The sequence below is a fragment of the Homo sapiens genome, chromosome 6 (assembly GCF_000001405.40).
Source record: "Homo sapiens chromosome 6, GRCh38.p14 Primary Assembly".
Taxonomy (NCBI): Eukaryota; Metazoa; Chordata; class Mammalia; order Primates; family Hominidae; genus Homo; species Homo sapiens.
In genome coordinates, this window is record NC_000006.12 from 27,871,415 (window position 1) to 27,888,110 (window position 16,696).

At 45.9% G+C, this 16,696-nt stretch overlaps 2 protein-coding genes and 1 pseudogene across 2 annotated transcripts, besides 4 other annotated features; all 3 read right to left on the reverse strand.

Moving 5' to 3' along the window:
* Positions 1-430: 430 nt before the first annotated feature.
* Positions 431-932, reverse strand: H3C11 (H3 clustered histone 11). The gene has a single exon (NM_003533.3). It carries the CDS (start codon positions 899-901, stop codon positions 491-493), a length of 411 nt encoding a protein of 136 aa, NP_003524.1. The 5' UTR covers positions 902-932; the 3' UTR covers positions 431-490.
* Positions 1,682-2,319: an enhancer, noted in NCBI's record as "H3K27ac hESC enhancer chr6:27840874-27841511 (GRCh37/hg19 assembly coordinates)". NCBI's record gives its function as "activates a minimal SCP1, AML or CMV promoter by ChIP-STARR-seq in naive H9 embryonic stem cells {active_cell/tissue: H9 hESC(naive)}" and the evidence as "EXISTENCE:reporter gene assay evidence [ECO:0000049][PMID:30033119]".
* On the reverse strand, positions 1,734-2,120 carry H4C13 (H4 clustered histone 13). The gene has a single exon (NM_003546.3). It carries the CDS (start codon positions 2,094-2,096, stop codon positions 1,785-1,787), a length of 312 nt encoding a protein of 103 aa, NP_003537.1. The 5' UTR covers positions 2,097-2,120; the 3' UTR covers positions 1,734-1,784.
* Positions 1,751-1,800: an enhancer, noted in NCBI's record as "active region_24331". NCBI's record gives its function as "activates an Ori minimal core promoter by ATAC-STARR-seq in GM12878 lymphoblastoid cells {active_cell/tissue: GM12878}" and the evidence as "EXISTENCE:reporter gene assay evidence [ECO:0000049][PMID:35858748]".
* Positions 2,101-2,270: an enhancer, noted in NCBI's record as "active region_24332". NCBI's record gives its function as "activates an Ori minimal core promoter by ATAC-STARR-seq in GM12878 lymphoblastoid cells {active_cell/tissue: GM12878}" and the evidence as "EXISTENCE:reporter gene assay evidence [ECO:0000049][PMID:35858748]".
* Positions 2,351-2,400: an enhancer, noted in NCBI's record as "active region_24333". NCBI's record gives its function as "activates an Ori minimal core promoter by ATAC-STARR-seq in GM12878 lymphoblastoid cells {active_cell/tissue: GM12878}" and the evidence as "EXISTENCE:reporter gene assay evidence [ECO:0000049][PMID:35858748]".
* On the reverse strand, positions 7,180-7,404 carry HCG13P (HLA complex group 13 pseudogene; annotated as a pseudogene).

Sequence of the window (16,696 nt, forward strand, 5' to 3'; positions counted from 1 at the left end):
ACGGCCGGCAGTCTTTTTTTTAGTGGACAGGGGGGTTTCACCGTGTTAGCCAGGATGGTCTTGATCTCCTGACCTTGTGATCCGCCTGCCTCGGCCTCACCAGAGCCTGTGGACACTCATTGTGCTACTTGTTCCCTTCAGTAGGGGCAGGTAGATACGCAGGAGACACATTCCTCAAGGATAAAAACAGGAATACTTTTCAAAACTAAACTTCATCTGTAAAATTGACCCCATGACATGTCTTTTTTGAGTGATAATCCTTATCAGTAGGAACAGGTTCTGTATGTGAAATTGATTTAGCATACCAACAGCCTGTGACCTGACTCCTGCATTATAGTGTGTTGGGCCACTACCACGTTTTGTCCACAGCTTGTATTTAACATGGAGCTAAGACACGTCTCAAAAGCTACAGCTTCCTTTTGGTGACAATTGAGGGGCTCTGAAAAGAGCCTTTTGGGGTTGGACAGACTTCTTGGGCTGATAGGAATATTTATGCCCTCTCCCCTCGGATGCGGCGCGCAAGCTGGATGTCTTTAGGCATAATAGTGACGCGTTTGGCGTGAATGGCGCACAGGTTGGTATCCTCAAATAGCCCCACCAGGTAGGCCTCGCAAGCCTCCTGCAGCGCCATCACCGCCGAGCTCTGGAAGCGCAGATCGGTCTTAAAGTCCTGTGCGATCTCCCGTACCAAGCGCTGAAAAGGTAGCTTCCGGATTAGCAGCTCGGTCGACTTCTGGTAGCGGCGGATCTCGCGCAGGGCCACGGTGCCGGGGCGGTAGCGGTGGGGCTTCTTGACGCCACCGGTGGCCGGAGCGCTCTTGCGAGCCGCCTTGGTGGCCAGCTGCTTGCGCGGCGCTTTGCCGCCGGTGGACTTGCGAGCTGTTTGCTTTGTTCGTGCCATGGCTAAGTAGACGTACCTACTCAACACAAATGAGAGAAAAAAACTGATCATCCCGGTATTTATAGCTGCCCTCGCGTTCTGATTGGACAGTAGACTGTGCCATGCCACGTCTCACACACGGAATTGGCTCCCAGTTTAATCTGCTAGTGAAAGGGAGACATTCCGCCTCTGTTTTGGGTCAAGAAACGTAAAATGGTTTTGCTAGCTAAAGAAAAACAAAAACGGAAACAAAAAAAAATCCCCCAAAAGTCTAGGATTTTTCATGCATCAAAATCCTGTTTAAATATAAGCTTGATAAATCTAAACTTGCCTTGCACTATTTTAATTACGAGGTGTCATTACTGATTTGACAAAAAGTTAAAGAACGTAAAGGAAAAGTGAAACTAGAGTAAATTTGTAAATGGAGGCATTGAAGGGGATATGAAATTCGAGCGTTGTGGTATGCCAGTATTTCTCAAATTTAAACGTACTTAATGTTTTAGAAGTTGGCCGACTTTTTCTGTAAAGGGCGATATTAAAACATTTTGGGCGTTGCGGACCACAGTGTCATAGTTACACAGCCCTCGCATTGGTAGCGGTAAAGTAATCGATACAAGATAAATGAGACCGGCTGTTTCATTATGACTTTTGCAAAAACCAGAGAGGCGTTATAGATTTGGCCGTGTATCAGAGAAGCCGGCACTTTTAACCACTAAGTAATGCTGAAAGGGGCACCGAACCTCAAACTTCAGCGACTGCTTATGTGGAATCGCTAATTTGCCAAAACTGCCATACGTTTAAGTGTTCTTAAGAAATTAACTATCTTTAGTCTACAGCTCTTTCACAGACTTCATGGGTGGCCCTGAGAAGGGCCTTTGAGGAACCGTGTAAGTAAGTAAAACACTCAGCCGCCAAAGCCATACAGGGTGCGGCCCTGGCGCTTGAGCGCGTAAACCACGTCCATGGCTGTGACTGTCTTGCGTTTGGCGTGCTCCGTGTAGGTAACTGCATCGCGGATTACATTCTCCAAAAACACTTTAAGAACTCCGCGTGTCTCCTCGTATATAAGGCCTGAGATGCGCTTAACGCCTCCACGCCGTGCCAGGCGTCGGATGGCGGGCTTGGTGATGCCCTGAATGTTGTCGCGCAGAACTTTGCGGTGGCGCTTAGCGCCTCCTTTGCCCAGACCCTTCCCGCCTTTGCCGCGCCCAGACATGTCTTGTACTAAACAAAATGCAACACGGCAAGCCTCGCAGCAGTACTTTATATAGTAATAAATCGGACCTGATTGGGAACTCTCCACACCAGCTGCATCCGGTCGGCCGATTCACAGACCTTGCGCCCTGCCCACGACTTCAGGAAAAAATGGAAAAGGGGGTACTTAAACTCCAGTTTCTAAAAATGATGCCCAGTTAAAAATTACTCAGCTCATCTTGCCCTTCTACAGTGTTTTAGGCTGACCACCGCTGCATTCCATTGTCTGGGTCTTTGCAGCCTGTTTTTCCTGTCACCTCTTAGCATCGATTGTTCTAGTGCTTTGTGGCTGCTGGAATCAAATGGCGCCATCTCTAGAGGGGTAATCACAGTCGTTTCGGGCATTTGTGAAATAGCGTGTAGAAACTGCTTCCGTACAAACTCGAAGTGATCAGCCTATGGAGTGGCTGACTGCAAAAGACGACGCCTGATGATAGCTCCAAGGTGGGATTCCTCACCTTTCTCAAATTTGGTTCTCTATTCTTTTCCTTATATTTTACTCTTTCTGTAGCTGTCCTTTCTGTTCCTTTCTCTCCCTCGCCAACCACATTTTTGGGGCAAGAACTTTCTATTTTTTTTTCCTCATTCCACCTAGAAACACTTCAGGAAGCTGTTTGAGAAAGAAAGGTGGCTTTTACCCTGTATTTCCTTAGAATTGTGAAGGTGCCGCTTGAGCTCCCTCATGTTCCTCTTTTCTGTTGAACTAGGAAATCAGCTGTGCCCAGAAACCCTGTCTTTTACATTTACAAATAAAGTGCAGGAGGAAAAGACCGAGGATGACTTTATTCCAAGAAAAAGAGTTTCAAATGGCCGGACGCGGTGGCTCACGCCTGTAATCCCAGCCAGAAGGGAGGCCGATGCATGTGGATCACAAGGTCAGGAGTTCGAGACCAGCCTGGCTAAGATGGCGAAACCCCTTCTCTACTAAAAATAAAGAAAATTGGCCTGGCGTGGTGGAGGGCGCCCATAATCCCAGCTACTCAGGAGGTTGAGGCAAGAAAATCGCTTGAACGCAGAAGGCGGAGGTTGCAGTGAGCCAAGATCGAGCCCCTGCACTCCATGCACTCCAGCCTGGGCAACAAAGTAAGAGTCCGTCTCAAAAAAAAGTTTCAAATAAATGTTGTGTGACCTTCCTGACCTAGGCTGGCTCTGCCTTGCCCTGCCTTCCAGCTATCAGATTTCGTTTCTCAGTAATGTTTACCTTTTATATTTCAAATGTGTATGATTATTTACCTCTTTAGCAAATATCTAATTTTATTCTAAAAATCAGTCTCTGCAAGTACATTATGAACTACTCTATGATTACTGTATGTGCAAAACATTACATACTCATGTTGTAATAGTTAATCAGTTTCTCACTGAGCTAGGCTGGCCTCTTTTTCCTTTTTTTTTTTTTTTTTTTTTTTTTTTTGACAGAGTTTTGGTCTTGTCACCCCAGGCTGGAGTGCAATGGTGAGTTCTCTGCTCACTGCAATCTCCCCCTCACGGGTTCAAGCGATTCTCCGCCTCCCGGATTCAAGCGATTCTTCAGCCTTAGCCTCCTAAGTAGCTGGGATTAAAGGCACCCGCCACTACGCTCGGCTAATTTTTGTATTTTTAGTAGAGACGGGGTTTTGCCGTTTTGGCCAGGCTGGTCTCGAACTCCTGACCTCACGTGATCCGCCCACTTCGGCCTCCCAAAGTGCTGGGATTACAGGCGCGAGCCACTGCTCCCGGCCTTATTTTTTGTATTTGTAGTAGAGACGGGGTTTCAGCGTGTTAGCCTGGATGGTCCCTATCTCCTGACCTGGTGATCCACCCGCCTCGGCCACCCAAAGTGGTGGGATTACAAGCGTGAGCCATCGCGCCCGGCGATTAACCTCTTTTTTGTTATTAGTTCAGGCTGTGACCCTTATGGTCTCACAACTTCTGTACCCTACAGCATTGACATCTGTGTTTTTCAGAGGTGTAAATTTTTTTTTTTTTTTTTTTTTTTTTTTTTTGAGGCAGGCTCTTGGTCTGTCACCAAGGCTGGAGTGCGATCTTCCCACCTCAGCCTCCCCAGATCCTGGGACTACAGGTGTGAGCCACCACCCATTCCCGGCTAATTTTTGTACTTCTTGTAGAGATGGGGTTCCACCATGTTGTCCAGGCTGGTCTCAAACCCCTGGGCTCAAGCAATCCACCTACCTCGGCCTTCCGACGTGCTGGGATTACAGGTGTGAGCCACCACATCCGGTCCCTACTAAATTTTCTATGTTAAATCGTTAAATCAGATACTTTGTTAGTTCTCTTCTCCTACCAGCATGCAAACAAATAGATTTTTTAATTTAAAAAGAAAGTTTGTGGCCGGGCGCGGTGGCTCACGCCTGTAATCCCAGCACTTTGGGAGGCCGAGGCGGGCGGATCACGAGGTCAGGAGATCGAGACCATCCCAGCTAAAACGGTGAAACCCCGTCTCTACTAAAAATACAAAAAAATTAGCCGGGCGTAGTGGCGGGTGCCTGTAGTCCCAGCTACTTGGGAGGCTGAGGCAGGAGAATGGCGTGAACCCGGGAGGCGGAGCTTGCAGTGAGCCGAGATCCCGCCACTGCACTCCAGCCTGGGCGACAGAGCGAGACTCCGTCTCAAAAAAAAAAAAAAAAAAAAAAAGAAAGAAAGTTTGTTTCATTTAAATTAAGTACTTTTTAAATGACTCCTTTTTGTTTTCCTCACATGATAATGTTAATTGAAATGACAGTTGCTCAGTATATCCTTGTTGTTTAATCGGGATAAATTGTGTATTCTCGTCACGTTAAAAAAGAGTGGTACTGCCCTAGGCAGGTGGATCTCTTGAGGCCAGGAGAGTGAGACTAGCCTGCCCAACATGATGAAACCTCGTCTCTACTAAAACACAAAAAATTAACTGGGCATGGTGGCCTGTGCTTGTAACCTCAGTTACTCGCGAGGTTGAGGCACAAGAATCAGTTGAACCCAGGATGCAGAGGTTACAGTGAGCCAATATTGCACCATTGCACTCCAGCCTGAGTGACAGAGCAAGAAGCTGTCTAAAAAAAAAAAAAAAAAAAAAAAAAAAAAAAAAAAAAAAAAAAAAGTTGTACTTCTACCATGCTTCAAGATTGACTAGGAAAAAAGAAAACAAAAGAAATAAATAATAGAAATTAAAAAGATATTTTAAAAAGAGATTTAAAAGATTTACTTTTCCTGGCCAGGTGCGGTGGCTCACGCCTGTAATCCCAGCACTTTGGGAGGCTGAGGCAGGCAGATCACCAGGTCAGGAGATTGATACCATCCTGGCTAACAGAGTGAAACCCTGTCTCTACTAAAAATACAAAAAAATTAGCCGGGCATGGTGGCACGCACCTGTAGTCCCATCTATTCTGGTGGCTGAGGCAGGAGAATCGCTTGAACCCTGGAGGCGGAGGTTGCAGTGAGCCGAGATCGCGCCAGTGCACTCCAGCCTGGCCGACAGAGCGAGACTCCGTCTCAAAATTAAAAAAAAAAAAAACTTTTACTTTTCCAAGAGAAATGTTGCCAATGTTTTCATTTCCATATAATTCTTTCTATGCTTAAGCAAATGAATGAATGAAGTGTGCTTATCTTTTCGATGTTCTGAGGGATGCTTGCTGATCTGCAGTTGTCTCTGACAGTTTCTTAATGTCCTTACTTTAGAGTATTTTAACCGCCAAGTTTGCCCCTGCCTAGACAGAGCCGATTTATCAAGACAGGGGAATTGGAATAGAGAAAGAGTAACTCACGCAGAGCCAGGCATTCGGGGAGTACAGTTTTGTTTTTTAGCGGTAGCAAGGTTTATTGTGAAGAGCGAAAGGACAAAGCTTCCACAGCATGGAAGGGGATCCGAGGGGGTTGCCCGGGGAGTACAATTTTTTTTTTTTAGGTTTTTTAAACCCACTTTTATTAATTAATTGTAAGTAATATAAATAATCCAAAAATTTAAACAGACACTTAATGGCGTCCTGCATTACAAGTTTTTGAATGCAACAAATTTATCAAACCATGAATCTGTAAGCAAGGTAGTCAGAATCTCATAGCCCACTCACAGTGGAAAGCAGATCCCCTACCCTCCAAATGGCATCTTGAAGGGGGAAAGTGGCACAAAATGGAATATGATAAGCAAAAAAGCTGACGAGGCCCAAAGAGGAAGGTCCACTCCAGGGGCAGGCCCTACAACGTTAAAAGAATGGGGCAGCTGGCCCGACCTCTGGCCTCCTCTTCCTGGCTGAATGTAGATATTTACCAGCATTTAGAAAAAAGGATAAAAAGACAGAACTAAACCCCTGTTTAGGAAAAAGGGACCAAGGGACAGCAGTGGTTAAGTCATCCACTGAGGACCTGAAGGGGAAAATGGACTTACCTTTCTCATATATTTGGCCTGGCTAGGACACTGGGTGCCAGACAGCCTTCTGAGGGTATTTTCTTTCTAAATGAAGCCTCAGGAACAGGTAGGGGCAGCAGAATAGAATAGCATCCATTTCCCAGGGAAAGACTGCCTTTACATAGCACAAAGCAGCATCTGGGCCACTGTTGCCAGAGGTGAGTTTATACATTTACAAAATGCTTAAAATCTTTGGGAAGCAGAAGGAAGCTAAACAGAAGGTCCCAGGTTAACTGAAGGCAAATTCACTCAACCTCTTTAGTAAGGGACCCATGGGCTACCGAGCGTCCCCTCTACAATGTGCAGAGTGGAAACCCTTACCTGACCCTTTTCCAAACTGGTCCTGTATCCAAAGCTCCCCCTATGAGAGGGACACGAACATCAGGCTTTTGATTTAGAAGCCCAATCAGAGAGACACAGTGTGTCCCTTAAGAGGCACCTTAAAGGAACTGAACCTGGCAGGTAGGCAGATTCCTGGCATGGCTTGAATTGATGCTGACCAGGCATGGTGGCCTATTGCCTCCTGAAGACCAGTCTCAAGTGGGAGGGGCTGATGGTGGGAAGCCCTAGAAGAGAGTCTGGGATGAAGCGGCCTCCTCCCTGTCTTGCCCTCCAAAATTGAGTCTGGCCTGATTCCTTTGAGGAGCAAATTTTACAATCATCCCTCGCCCTAACACACAGTGAAACTGGAAACCCGACAGCAAATAATGACTAGGCTGGCTCTGGTCTACATGAACAGACCCTGGCTAGGTTTGGCTGAGTAGCTTCTCTGGGGCAAGTGGGAATGGCATTGCTGTGGGGGAGTTGCAGGTGGGCAGGCAGGGTTCTGATGGGAGTGAGGCCTAGAAAGCAGGGGCTTCATGCAGATGCAGCAGGGACACTCCCACCAAGCCATCCTGGGCTTTGGTCTTGGGTCCCACACCAAGCACTTGGACAAGCCTGTTAGGACAGGGGGTGGCACATGCTCTTCCTCCATCTGGAAAAACATGGAGATCCAAGGGAGGGTGGAAAGGGTCCTTGCAACTCAGTCAGCTTAGACCCTGTTATTGCTTATTTAGTCAGAAAAGCCTAGCTGGGACCAGATGGCAAAAGATTTGGCCAAGGGCTAACCCTTAGGGTGGGGCTTGGAAGAGAGGCCCCTTCTGCAATATTAGGATAGCAGCCTAGGTCAGGCCTTGGGTCCGAAGCCACAGCTGGCTCTAAAAGTCTGAGCTCCTGCTTTCCTTCAAGAGACGGTATATTTCTGGCTAGCACATGGGATCGTTCTCCCATTAGGTACACCGGGACCCCACAGGCACCGGGGAGTGATGCTGGCGGAAATGGCCACACGAGTTCTGGGGACTCTGTTCCACTTTATGATTCCAAAGAGAAAGACAAGGCCTTATAACCTTGGGACAAGGAGGGAAGGTGGCACCACAATGCTAGAGAAAAATGCCAGCCAGCCACCGCTGAGAGCACCAAGCTGCTGCTCTACCGCCTGCTTTTCTCAAAACTTATTAGTTCCTGAGGCTGGATCTAGGGTGTGGCAATGGAAGGGATGATGGGGAAAAGTCCTGAGTGGGTGGTGTCCCTGCACCTAAAGCAATTCACAAATGTTTTGTGATACCTGCCTCCAGGGAACACAAAGATGGGAATAGGAGCGCCCTCCCACCCCAGGAGGAGGGAGGGAGGGAGGAGAGAACCCCACTCACCCCACGGAGGCCACAAATAAGGCAGTGATGCTGAGGTGGGGCTCCTTTTTGGGAGGCCCCTTGTGCTCCCAATTACAGCAGCACTTCCTCTTGTTTTCCACCCTGGGAAAACTTCCATTTTGTGGTGACTTTAATTTTAAAGCATTCACTATTAAGAACCTTTGAAAGCAGGAGACACCCAGAGTGCAGGTCTGAGGGGCTCACTCACTCCTGTTATCAGGGGCAGAAACCATGCGCATTAGGCTGGCAAATGGCAAGAACACTCATTCCCCCACAGCCCAGGAAGAGCAAGAGTTCTAAGGCCCTTAAGAGGAAAAGCAACAGCCAGGAAGGATGAAGGCTGGAACAGACAGAGCTCGGTACAGGACAGGCCCTGGAGGAACACACAACAGGAAAGAGCCCTGCCCAAGAAATGGGAGGAGCTGGGGCAGCTTAGTTCTTCCCAGCCTTTGGAACAGAAGTACAATTTTTAAGGGTAACTTGGTGGATGGGGAGAAGCCAGTGAGCCAGGAGTCCTGACTGGTCAGGGATGAAAGCATAGGGAGTCGAAGCTGTCTTCTGGCACTGAGTCGGTTCCTAGGTGGGGACTGCAAGATCAGATGAACCACTTTATCGATCTGGGTGGTGCCAGCTGATTCATCAAGTGCAGGGTCTGCAAAACATCTCAAGTGCTGATCTTAAAAGCAGTTTAGGGAGGGTCTGAATATTGTAGCCTCCAGCTGCGTGTCTCCTAAACCATAATTTCTAATCTTGTGGCTCATGTTTGTGTCTAGTCCCCAAGCAAGAAGGAGGTCTTCTCTGGGAAAGGGCTGTTATGGTCTTTGGTTTTTTGTTTTTTGAGACGGAGTCTCACTCTGTCACCCAGGCTGGAGTGGAGTGGCGCGATCTCGGCTCTCTGCAAACTCTGCCGCCCAGGTTCATGTGATTCTCCTGCCTCAGCCTCCCGAGTAGCTGGGATTACAGGCGCCTGCCACCGCATCTGGCTAATTTTTGTAGTTTTACCAAAGACGGGATTTCACCATCTTGGCCAGGCTGGTCTTGAACTCCTGACCTCGTGATCCACCTGCCTAGGCCTCCCAAAGTGCTGGGCTTACTATAAACTATGTTTCTCCCAAAGTTAGTTCAGCCTATGCCCAGGAATGAACAAGGACAGCCATGAGGTTAGAAGCAAGATGGAGTTGATTAAGATAGATCTCTTTCACTGTCATAATTTTGCAAAGGTGGTTGCAGTGTTGGCCTCAATCCTTTTTAATATAGTTAAAAATTTCCATCTGATATGCCACCTATTTATCTCATTGACACCCAGTTTTGTTTGTTTTTCTTAAGGCTTTAGAATTGGTTGATTGATAGGTTGTGTTTTACATGGCTTTTTCCCCCTCTTTGGTCTTCATCCACAAATTGTTTATTAGTACTTCTAGTTCTCACTTCTTCTGTCCCCCATACACACACATAAACACACCACACACACAAAGACACACACACACACACATATATATATATATATAAAACACAGTAAGACGCTGTCTCAAACAAAACAAAACACCATTTGCTATTCAGTCTTTTCCTCTCCATTAATTTATTCTCTGAAATCTTGCATTCTACTTCATTGGCCTTTGCCAGGTCAGAAACTTAAACATGAGACATGGAAACATGAAGTTTTCCTTCTTCCTTGGCCCTGCCTCAGAGAAATCACCATCTCTGCTCTCATCCTCAAAGCATCTTTAAGTGTTTTTTTTTGTTTTTTGTTTTGTTTTTGTTTTGTTTTTTGAAACAGGGTCTCACTGTTGCCCAGGCTGGAGGGCAGTGGTGTGGTCTACGGCTCACTGCAACATCCGCCTCCTGGGTTCAAGCGATTCTCCTGCCTCAGCCTCCCAAGTAGCTGGGACGCGCACCACCATGCTCGGCTAATTTTTTTATTTTTTGGTAGAGACGGGGTTTCACCACGTTGGCCAAGCTGGCCTCCAGCTCCTGACCTCAAGTGATCAGCCCACCTCGTCCTCCCAAAGTGCTGGGTTTACAAGCATGAGCCAAAGCGCCCTGCCTGCATCTTTAAGCTTATAATACCCCCACGTGGTATTAAGACCAATTAAGATGCCAGGTACGGTGATTTGGCTTATAGTCCCAGCAACTCCAGAGGCTGAGGGGGTAGTATTACTTGAGCCCAGGACTTCGACGTGTCAGTGAGCTACAATGGCACCACTGCACTTCAGCGTGGATGACAGAGTGAGACCCTGTCTCTAAAAAAGCAAAACAAAAAGACCAATTAAAGAACTTTGAAGATACCGAATCCACTGCCCTTCTTGATTTCTCTTTGTCTTACCGTGCCCTTTTATTATTATTATTATTATTATTATTATTATTATTATTATTATTATTTGAGACAGATTTTGCTCTTGTTGCCTAGGCTCCAGTGCAATGGTGGATCTCAAGGGATTCTCCTGCTTCAGCCTCCGGAGTAGCTGGGATTACAGGTATGCGCCACCGTGCCTGGCTAATTTTGTATTTTCAGTAGAGACGTGGTTTCTCCGTGTTGGTCAGGCTGGACTCCTACTCCCGACCTCAGGTGATCCACCTGCCTCAGCCTCCCAACGTGCGGGGATCTCAGGCGTGAGCCACCGAGACCGCCCTCCGCCCTCTTGCCTGACGTTTACTATGCCATATGTTCCATATTCTTTGAGTGCTTATGGCTTTGGTTTTTTGGAGACGGAGTCTCGCTCTGTTACGCAGGCTAGAGTGCAGTGGCGCGATGTCTGCTCACTGCAACCTCCGCCTCCCAGGTTCAAGCAATTCTGCCTCAGCCTCCCGAGTAGCTGGGACTACAGTCGCAGGCCGCCACACTCTGCTAATTTTTTGTATTTTTAGTAGAGACGGGGTTTCACCGTTTTGCCCAGGCTGGTCTCGAACTCCTGAGCTCAGTCAACCCACCCAAAGTGCTAGAATTACAGGCGCGAGCCACCGCGTCTGGCCGAGTGCTTATGGTTTTAAAACTGACTTGCAAAACTCTTTATCAGGAAACCTCTTAGTTTCTCCTGAAAGTCTTTCAACCTATCATTGAAAGGGTCAGAATTTAGTTGTAAAGAATTTATTTGGCTGGGCGTGGTGGCTCACACCTGTAATCCCATCACATTGGAAGGCAAAGGCGGGAATGTCAGAGGCGTGTGAACCAGAACAACACCATCTTAAATAGGAGCTGGTAAAATAAGGCTGAAACCTCCTGGGCTGCATTCCTAGACGGTTAAAGCATTTTAAGTCACAGCATGAGATAGGAAGTCAGCACAAAATACAGGCCATAAAGACCTTGCTAATAAAGCAGATTGCAGTAAAGGAGCCAGCCAAAACCAAAATGGTGATGAGAGTGACCTCTGGTCGTCCTCACTGCTGCACTCCCACTAGGGTCATGACAATTTACAAATGCCATGGTAACGTCAGAAAGTTACCCTATATGGTCTAAAGAGGGGAGGCATGAATAATCCACCTCTTGTTTAGCATATCATCAAGAAATAACCATAAAAATGGGCAAGCAGCAGCCCTCAGGGCTGCTCTATGGAGTAGCCATTCTTTTATTCCTTTACTTTCTTAATAAACTTGCTTTCACTTTGCACTGTGGACTTGTCCTGAATTTTTTCTTGCAAGAGATCCAAGAACCCTCTCTTGGGGTCTGTATTGGGAAGCCTTTCTTTAACAGGAGGATCGCTTGAGCCCAGGAGTTCAGACCAGCCTACCAGCCTGGGCAACATAGCAAGACCCCTGTCTCTATTAAGAAGAATTTTTTTTTTAAGTTTATTCAAAGGAAAGCTGGAAATAGCCATTTGGAAAACAGACTCCAGGATCAATGGAATCAATCAGAGCTCCAAAGATAAAACTAAAGATCTTGCTTATATAGATAGAAAACAAAGACATTTAATAGAATTTTAAGTTTCTGTACAAAGGTGGCTTACGAGGTACAATTTGATTAGTTACAGCTTGTTTTTATTTTCTTTCACATTTAAAAGAGTATATTTAAAATTCCATCTTATACAATATGATAGTGACGAAGTCTTTGTGTAAGAGAGAAAACAGGGAAGTTCATCTATAATAAGAATCAATAGTGAAGAGATAAGGGGTCTTCCCTGGTGTCCTGTAGTCATTTACAACGTTTTACCACAAAAGGCAGATTTATAAGAGAAAAGCCTTACAAATGTGTTAACATGCACATGGGAAACAACTACAGAGTATTTACCCACTTCCCAACAGTGTACAAAGGTTTACAAACATTCTTCTTGTTTTTTTTTTTTTAGATGGAGTCTCGCTTTGTTGCCCAGGCTGGAGTGCAGTGGCGCGATCTTGGCTCACTGCAAGCTCCACCTCCCAGGTTCACGCCATTCTCCTGCCTCAGCCTCCGGAATAGCTGGGACTACAGGCACCCGCCACCACGCCCAGCTAATTTTTTGTAATTTTTAGTAGAGACAGGGTTTCACCGTGTTAACCAGGATGGTCTCGATCTCCTGACCTCGTGATCCACCCGCCTCGGTCTCCCAAAGTGCTGGGATTACAGGCGTGAGCCACCGCACCCAGCCTACAAACATTCTTTTTTTTTTTTTTTTTTTTTTTTTTTGAGACACAGTCTCGCTCTGTCACCCAGGCTGGAGTGCAGTGGCGCGATCTCGGCTCACTGCAAACTCCACCTCCCGGGTTGACGCCATTCTCCTGCCTCAGCCTCCCGAGTAGCTGGGACTATAGGCGCCTGCCACCACGCCAGGCTAATTTTTTGTATTTTTAGTAGAGACGAGGTTTCACCGTATTAGCCAGGATGGTCTCGATCTCCTGACCTCGTGATCCACCCGCCTCGGCCTCCCAAAGTGCTGGGATTACAGGCGTGAGCCACCGCGCCCAGCCACAAACATTCTTAAGCTAGAAAAAGGTTACAGAAAGAATGAGGGCTTGGGTCATAGCTAAACAAGTTACCGGCGGGTTGTGAGAAGAGGGATTCTGTTGAGGAGCAATAAATGATTACTAGGTAGAATGAGTGGACTGGGGAAAAGAGATTAACTTGTAAATAGTTCTCTTTGGAATTTGAATGCTCCTGGGAGACAACATTATCTTGTGAAAGGGTCTGTTCAGGTATGGTTACTTTTTTTTTTTTTTTTTTTTTTGAGTCGGAGTTTCACTCTTGTCACCCAGGCTGGAGTGCAATGGCGCAATCTCGGCTCACCACAACCTCTGCCTCCCGGGTTCAAGCGATTTTCCTTCCTCAGCCTCATGAGTAGCTGAGATTACAGGCATGCGCCACCACGCCCAGCTAATTTTTTGTATTTTTAGTAGGGACGGGGTTTCTCCATGTTGGTCAGGCTTGTCTTGAACTCCCGACCTCAGGTGATCCGCCCACCTCGGCCTCCCAAAGTGCTGGGATTACAGGCGTAAGCCACCGCGCCCGGTCAATGGTTACATTCTTGATATTTTTTTTCTATAATAGGTAATGAGATTACAGGGAAGAGAATAAAAAACAATTGTTCTCGTTGGTGGGCTGGGACATTAGGCAGATAAAAGAACTTCAGAGAACAACTTCATCCAGTGCTTTGAGATAGAGGATTTAGAGATTTTGGAAGGCATGGTCAGAGAGAACTTGAAGCTTCTTCAGTTCAGCATGTCAACCCACAATATTTTTGGTTATTAGTTTCTGAGCCTCAAGAAGATGTAACTGTCATTAGGTCTTGAGCATCATCTGGTCTGAGTTAGGTAAAGGACAGTGAAGGAGGCAGATAATGCACAACTAAGATCAGTGATTGGAAGTGGGGACGTCTGATCTCTGCTAGACATTTACAGAACAAGAACAATGAGGAAAAGAGTTAAACTATAATCTGAGAAGCAGAATTGAAAATATGCTACATGAATCAGTCTTCAGGGCTTAAGTTCCCCTTTGGCATAATAAATTTAGAAGTCCCTCAAATTTTATTTATTTATTTTTTATTTTTGAGATGGAGTCTCACTGTCACTAGGCTAGAGTGCAATGGCACAGTCTCGACTCACTGCAACCTCCACCCCTCTGGTTCAAGCGATTCTCCTGCCTCAGCCCGAGTATACAGGCGCGCGCCACCATGCGCAGCTAATTTTTTGTATTTTTAGTAGAGACGGGGTTTCACCATGTTGGCCAGGGTGGCCTCCATCTCTTGACCTCGTGATCTGCCTGCCTCTGCCTCCCGAAGTGCTGGGCTCACAAGCGTGAGCCACCGCGCCCAGCCCTTTTCTTTTACAGTATGAATTGAGTGGCAACAGTAAGGTTGATGGGGTCTTGAGTTCAGCTCTTGTTTTTGACGTTTGCTTATATCTTGACCTCAGAAAAGAGAGCATTTGTTAGTATTCATCCACTATATTTTACTTATTCATTCACTTAAATTACCTCTACTTTCATGTTATTACAAATATCACTTTGATGAATATTCTTGATATGTCCTCATATGGGTCTATAGGAGAGTTTTCTTGGAGCATAGGCCTGGGCACAGAAGGAATGGTTCTCCAAAATGTCTTTTGCAAAGCCACCATCAGTAAACCACCACATGAGAGTGTTTCTCCATCTCCCATCCAACACTAAGTTATACCCAGTGCTATAAACTGAAAGTTTGTGTCCTCACAAAATTCAGTGTTGAAGCCTAGTCTCCAATGTGGTGATATTAAATGTGGCCTTTGGGGGGCGATTAGGTCAATTTCCCAAGAGAATTATTTACAATTAATCTCTGTTCTCCGAGCCATTTATTCTCCCTACTAATTATTTATTGCCCGTAAACAAAATTACCTATATTTCCCATCTTTCCTCTCCCTTCTGAAATAAGGCTATATAAGTATTTGGGCCTTACTGGGATATTGGATGATCACTCAGTGATTCTCTCCCATGTATACATCATAAATTCATTTGCCATTTCTCTTATTAATCTTCACTTTGTGAGATGATTTCTCAGTGAAACTTCAGAGGGCAAAGGGGAAGTTTTTCTCTTGTTTCTCTACACTACTTATGTAGATTAAAATTTTAATGTAGCTTGTACTAGTTTCTGTCTGAGAAAATTCAGTATTTCTAGTCTTGTGCAGATAACAAACCTTATTATTATCAGCAGATATATAGAAAAACATGTTTTTTACATTTTAGAATCTTTTTTTTTTTTTTGAAGCGGAGTCTCACTCTGTTGCCCAGGCTGGAGTGCAGTGGTAAAATCTTGGCTCACTGCAACCTCTGCCCAGGCTGGAGTGCAATGGTGCAATCTTGGCTCACTGCAACCTCTGCCTCGTGGGTTCAAGCGATTCTCTCGCCTCAGCCTCCTGAGTAGCTGGGATTACAGGTGTGTGTCACCCCATCCGGCTCATTTTTGTATTTTTAGTAGAGACAGGGTTTTGTCGTCCTGTTGGCTAGGCTGGTCTCAAACTCCTGACCTCAGGTGATCCACTCACCTTGGCGTCCGAAAGTGCTGGGATTACTTGCCTGAGCCACCGGGTCAGGCCTAGAATCTCTTTCATATTGAGAACCATATTTTTGGGAAACAGTTTTTGTAGCAGATTCCGTTTGAGTGGAAATCTACAGAAGTTTTATTTATAGGCTGGGCGCAGTGGCTCACGCCTGTAATCCCAGCGCTTTGGGAGGCCGAGGCGGGGAGATCACGAGGTCAGGAGATCGAGACCATCCTGGCTAACATGGTGAAACCCTGCCTCTACTAAAAATACAAAAAAATTAGCCGGGCATGGTGGCGGGCGCCTGCAACTCGGGAGGCTGAGGCAGGAGAATGGCGTGAACCCAGGAGGCGTAGCTTGCAATGAGCTGAGATTGTGCCACTGCACTCCAGCCTGGGTGATAGAGCAAGACTCTGTCTCAAAAAAAAAAAAAAAAAAAAAGAAGTTTTATTTATATTTTCGGTGACTTTGCTTGCTGTCTTGTTTTATACCCTTTCAGGGCTTCAACACTTCTGGGGAGGAAGGAGTGGTTCTTAAGCATTTATTCTCATCTTTTCTGCCTCCTAAACAGAAATGTTTCCTGTTTTGGAACACAAGATTGGAAAATGTTGCTTTATGAAGCAGAAGCTAACCGAAATCATAAAAATAAATAAATATAAAATAAAAAATAAGAAAGACTGGCCATTAGCAGAAGTGACATCATTAAAGTGATTTGTTTCTGTGTTACTGATCAAACTGGATTATTTCCCAAATCTTGACCAGTGTGACTTCTCAATCCAATCTTATCAGAGAATTTAGGTGTATTTCCCCATTTCTGAGGGTGAAGGTCATTTTAAACTTCTGCTTTGATTTCTGAAGTTTCAATAATTTGAGTCTCTGGAATTAACCAACAGTAGAAAGATAAACAGGAAAAAAAAAAAAGGCATACAAATTTATTACCTGCATATGCACAGGAGCCTCACAAAATACAGTACTCCAAGAAATGATACCGGTGGGCTAGGGGAGGTACCCAAATGCCATTAGGATGTTGATCCCAGCCAGTGTCCAGGCCTTTGCCACTGCTGCCAGAAAGAATCCAAGGAC

Coding starts and splice junctions, on each gene's coding strand:
- H4C13 (NM_003546.3), bottom strand. CDS start 2,096: ATGTCTGGGCGCGGCAAAGGCGGGAAGGGTCTGGGCAAAGGAGGCGCT.
- H3C11 (NM_003533.3), bottom strand. CDS start 901: ATGGCACGAACAAAGCAAACAGCTCGCAAGTCCACCGGCGGCAAAGCG.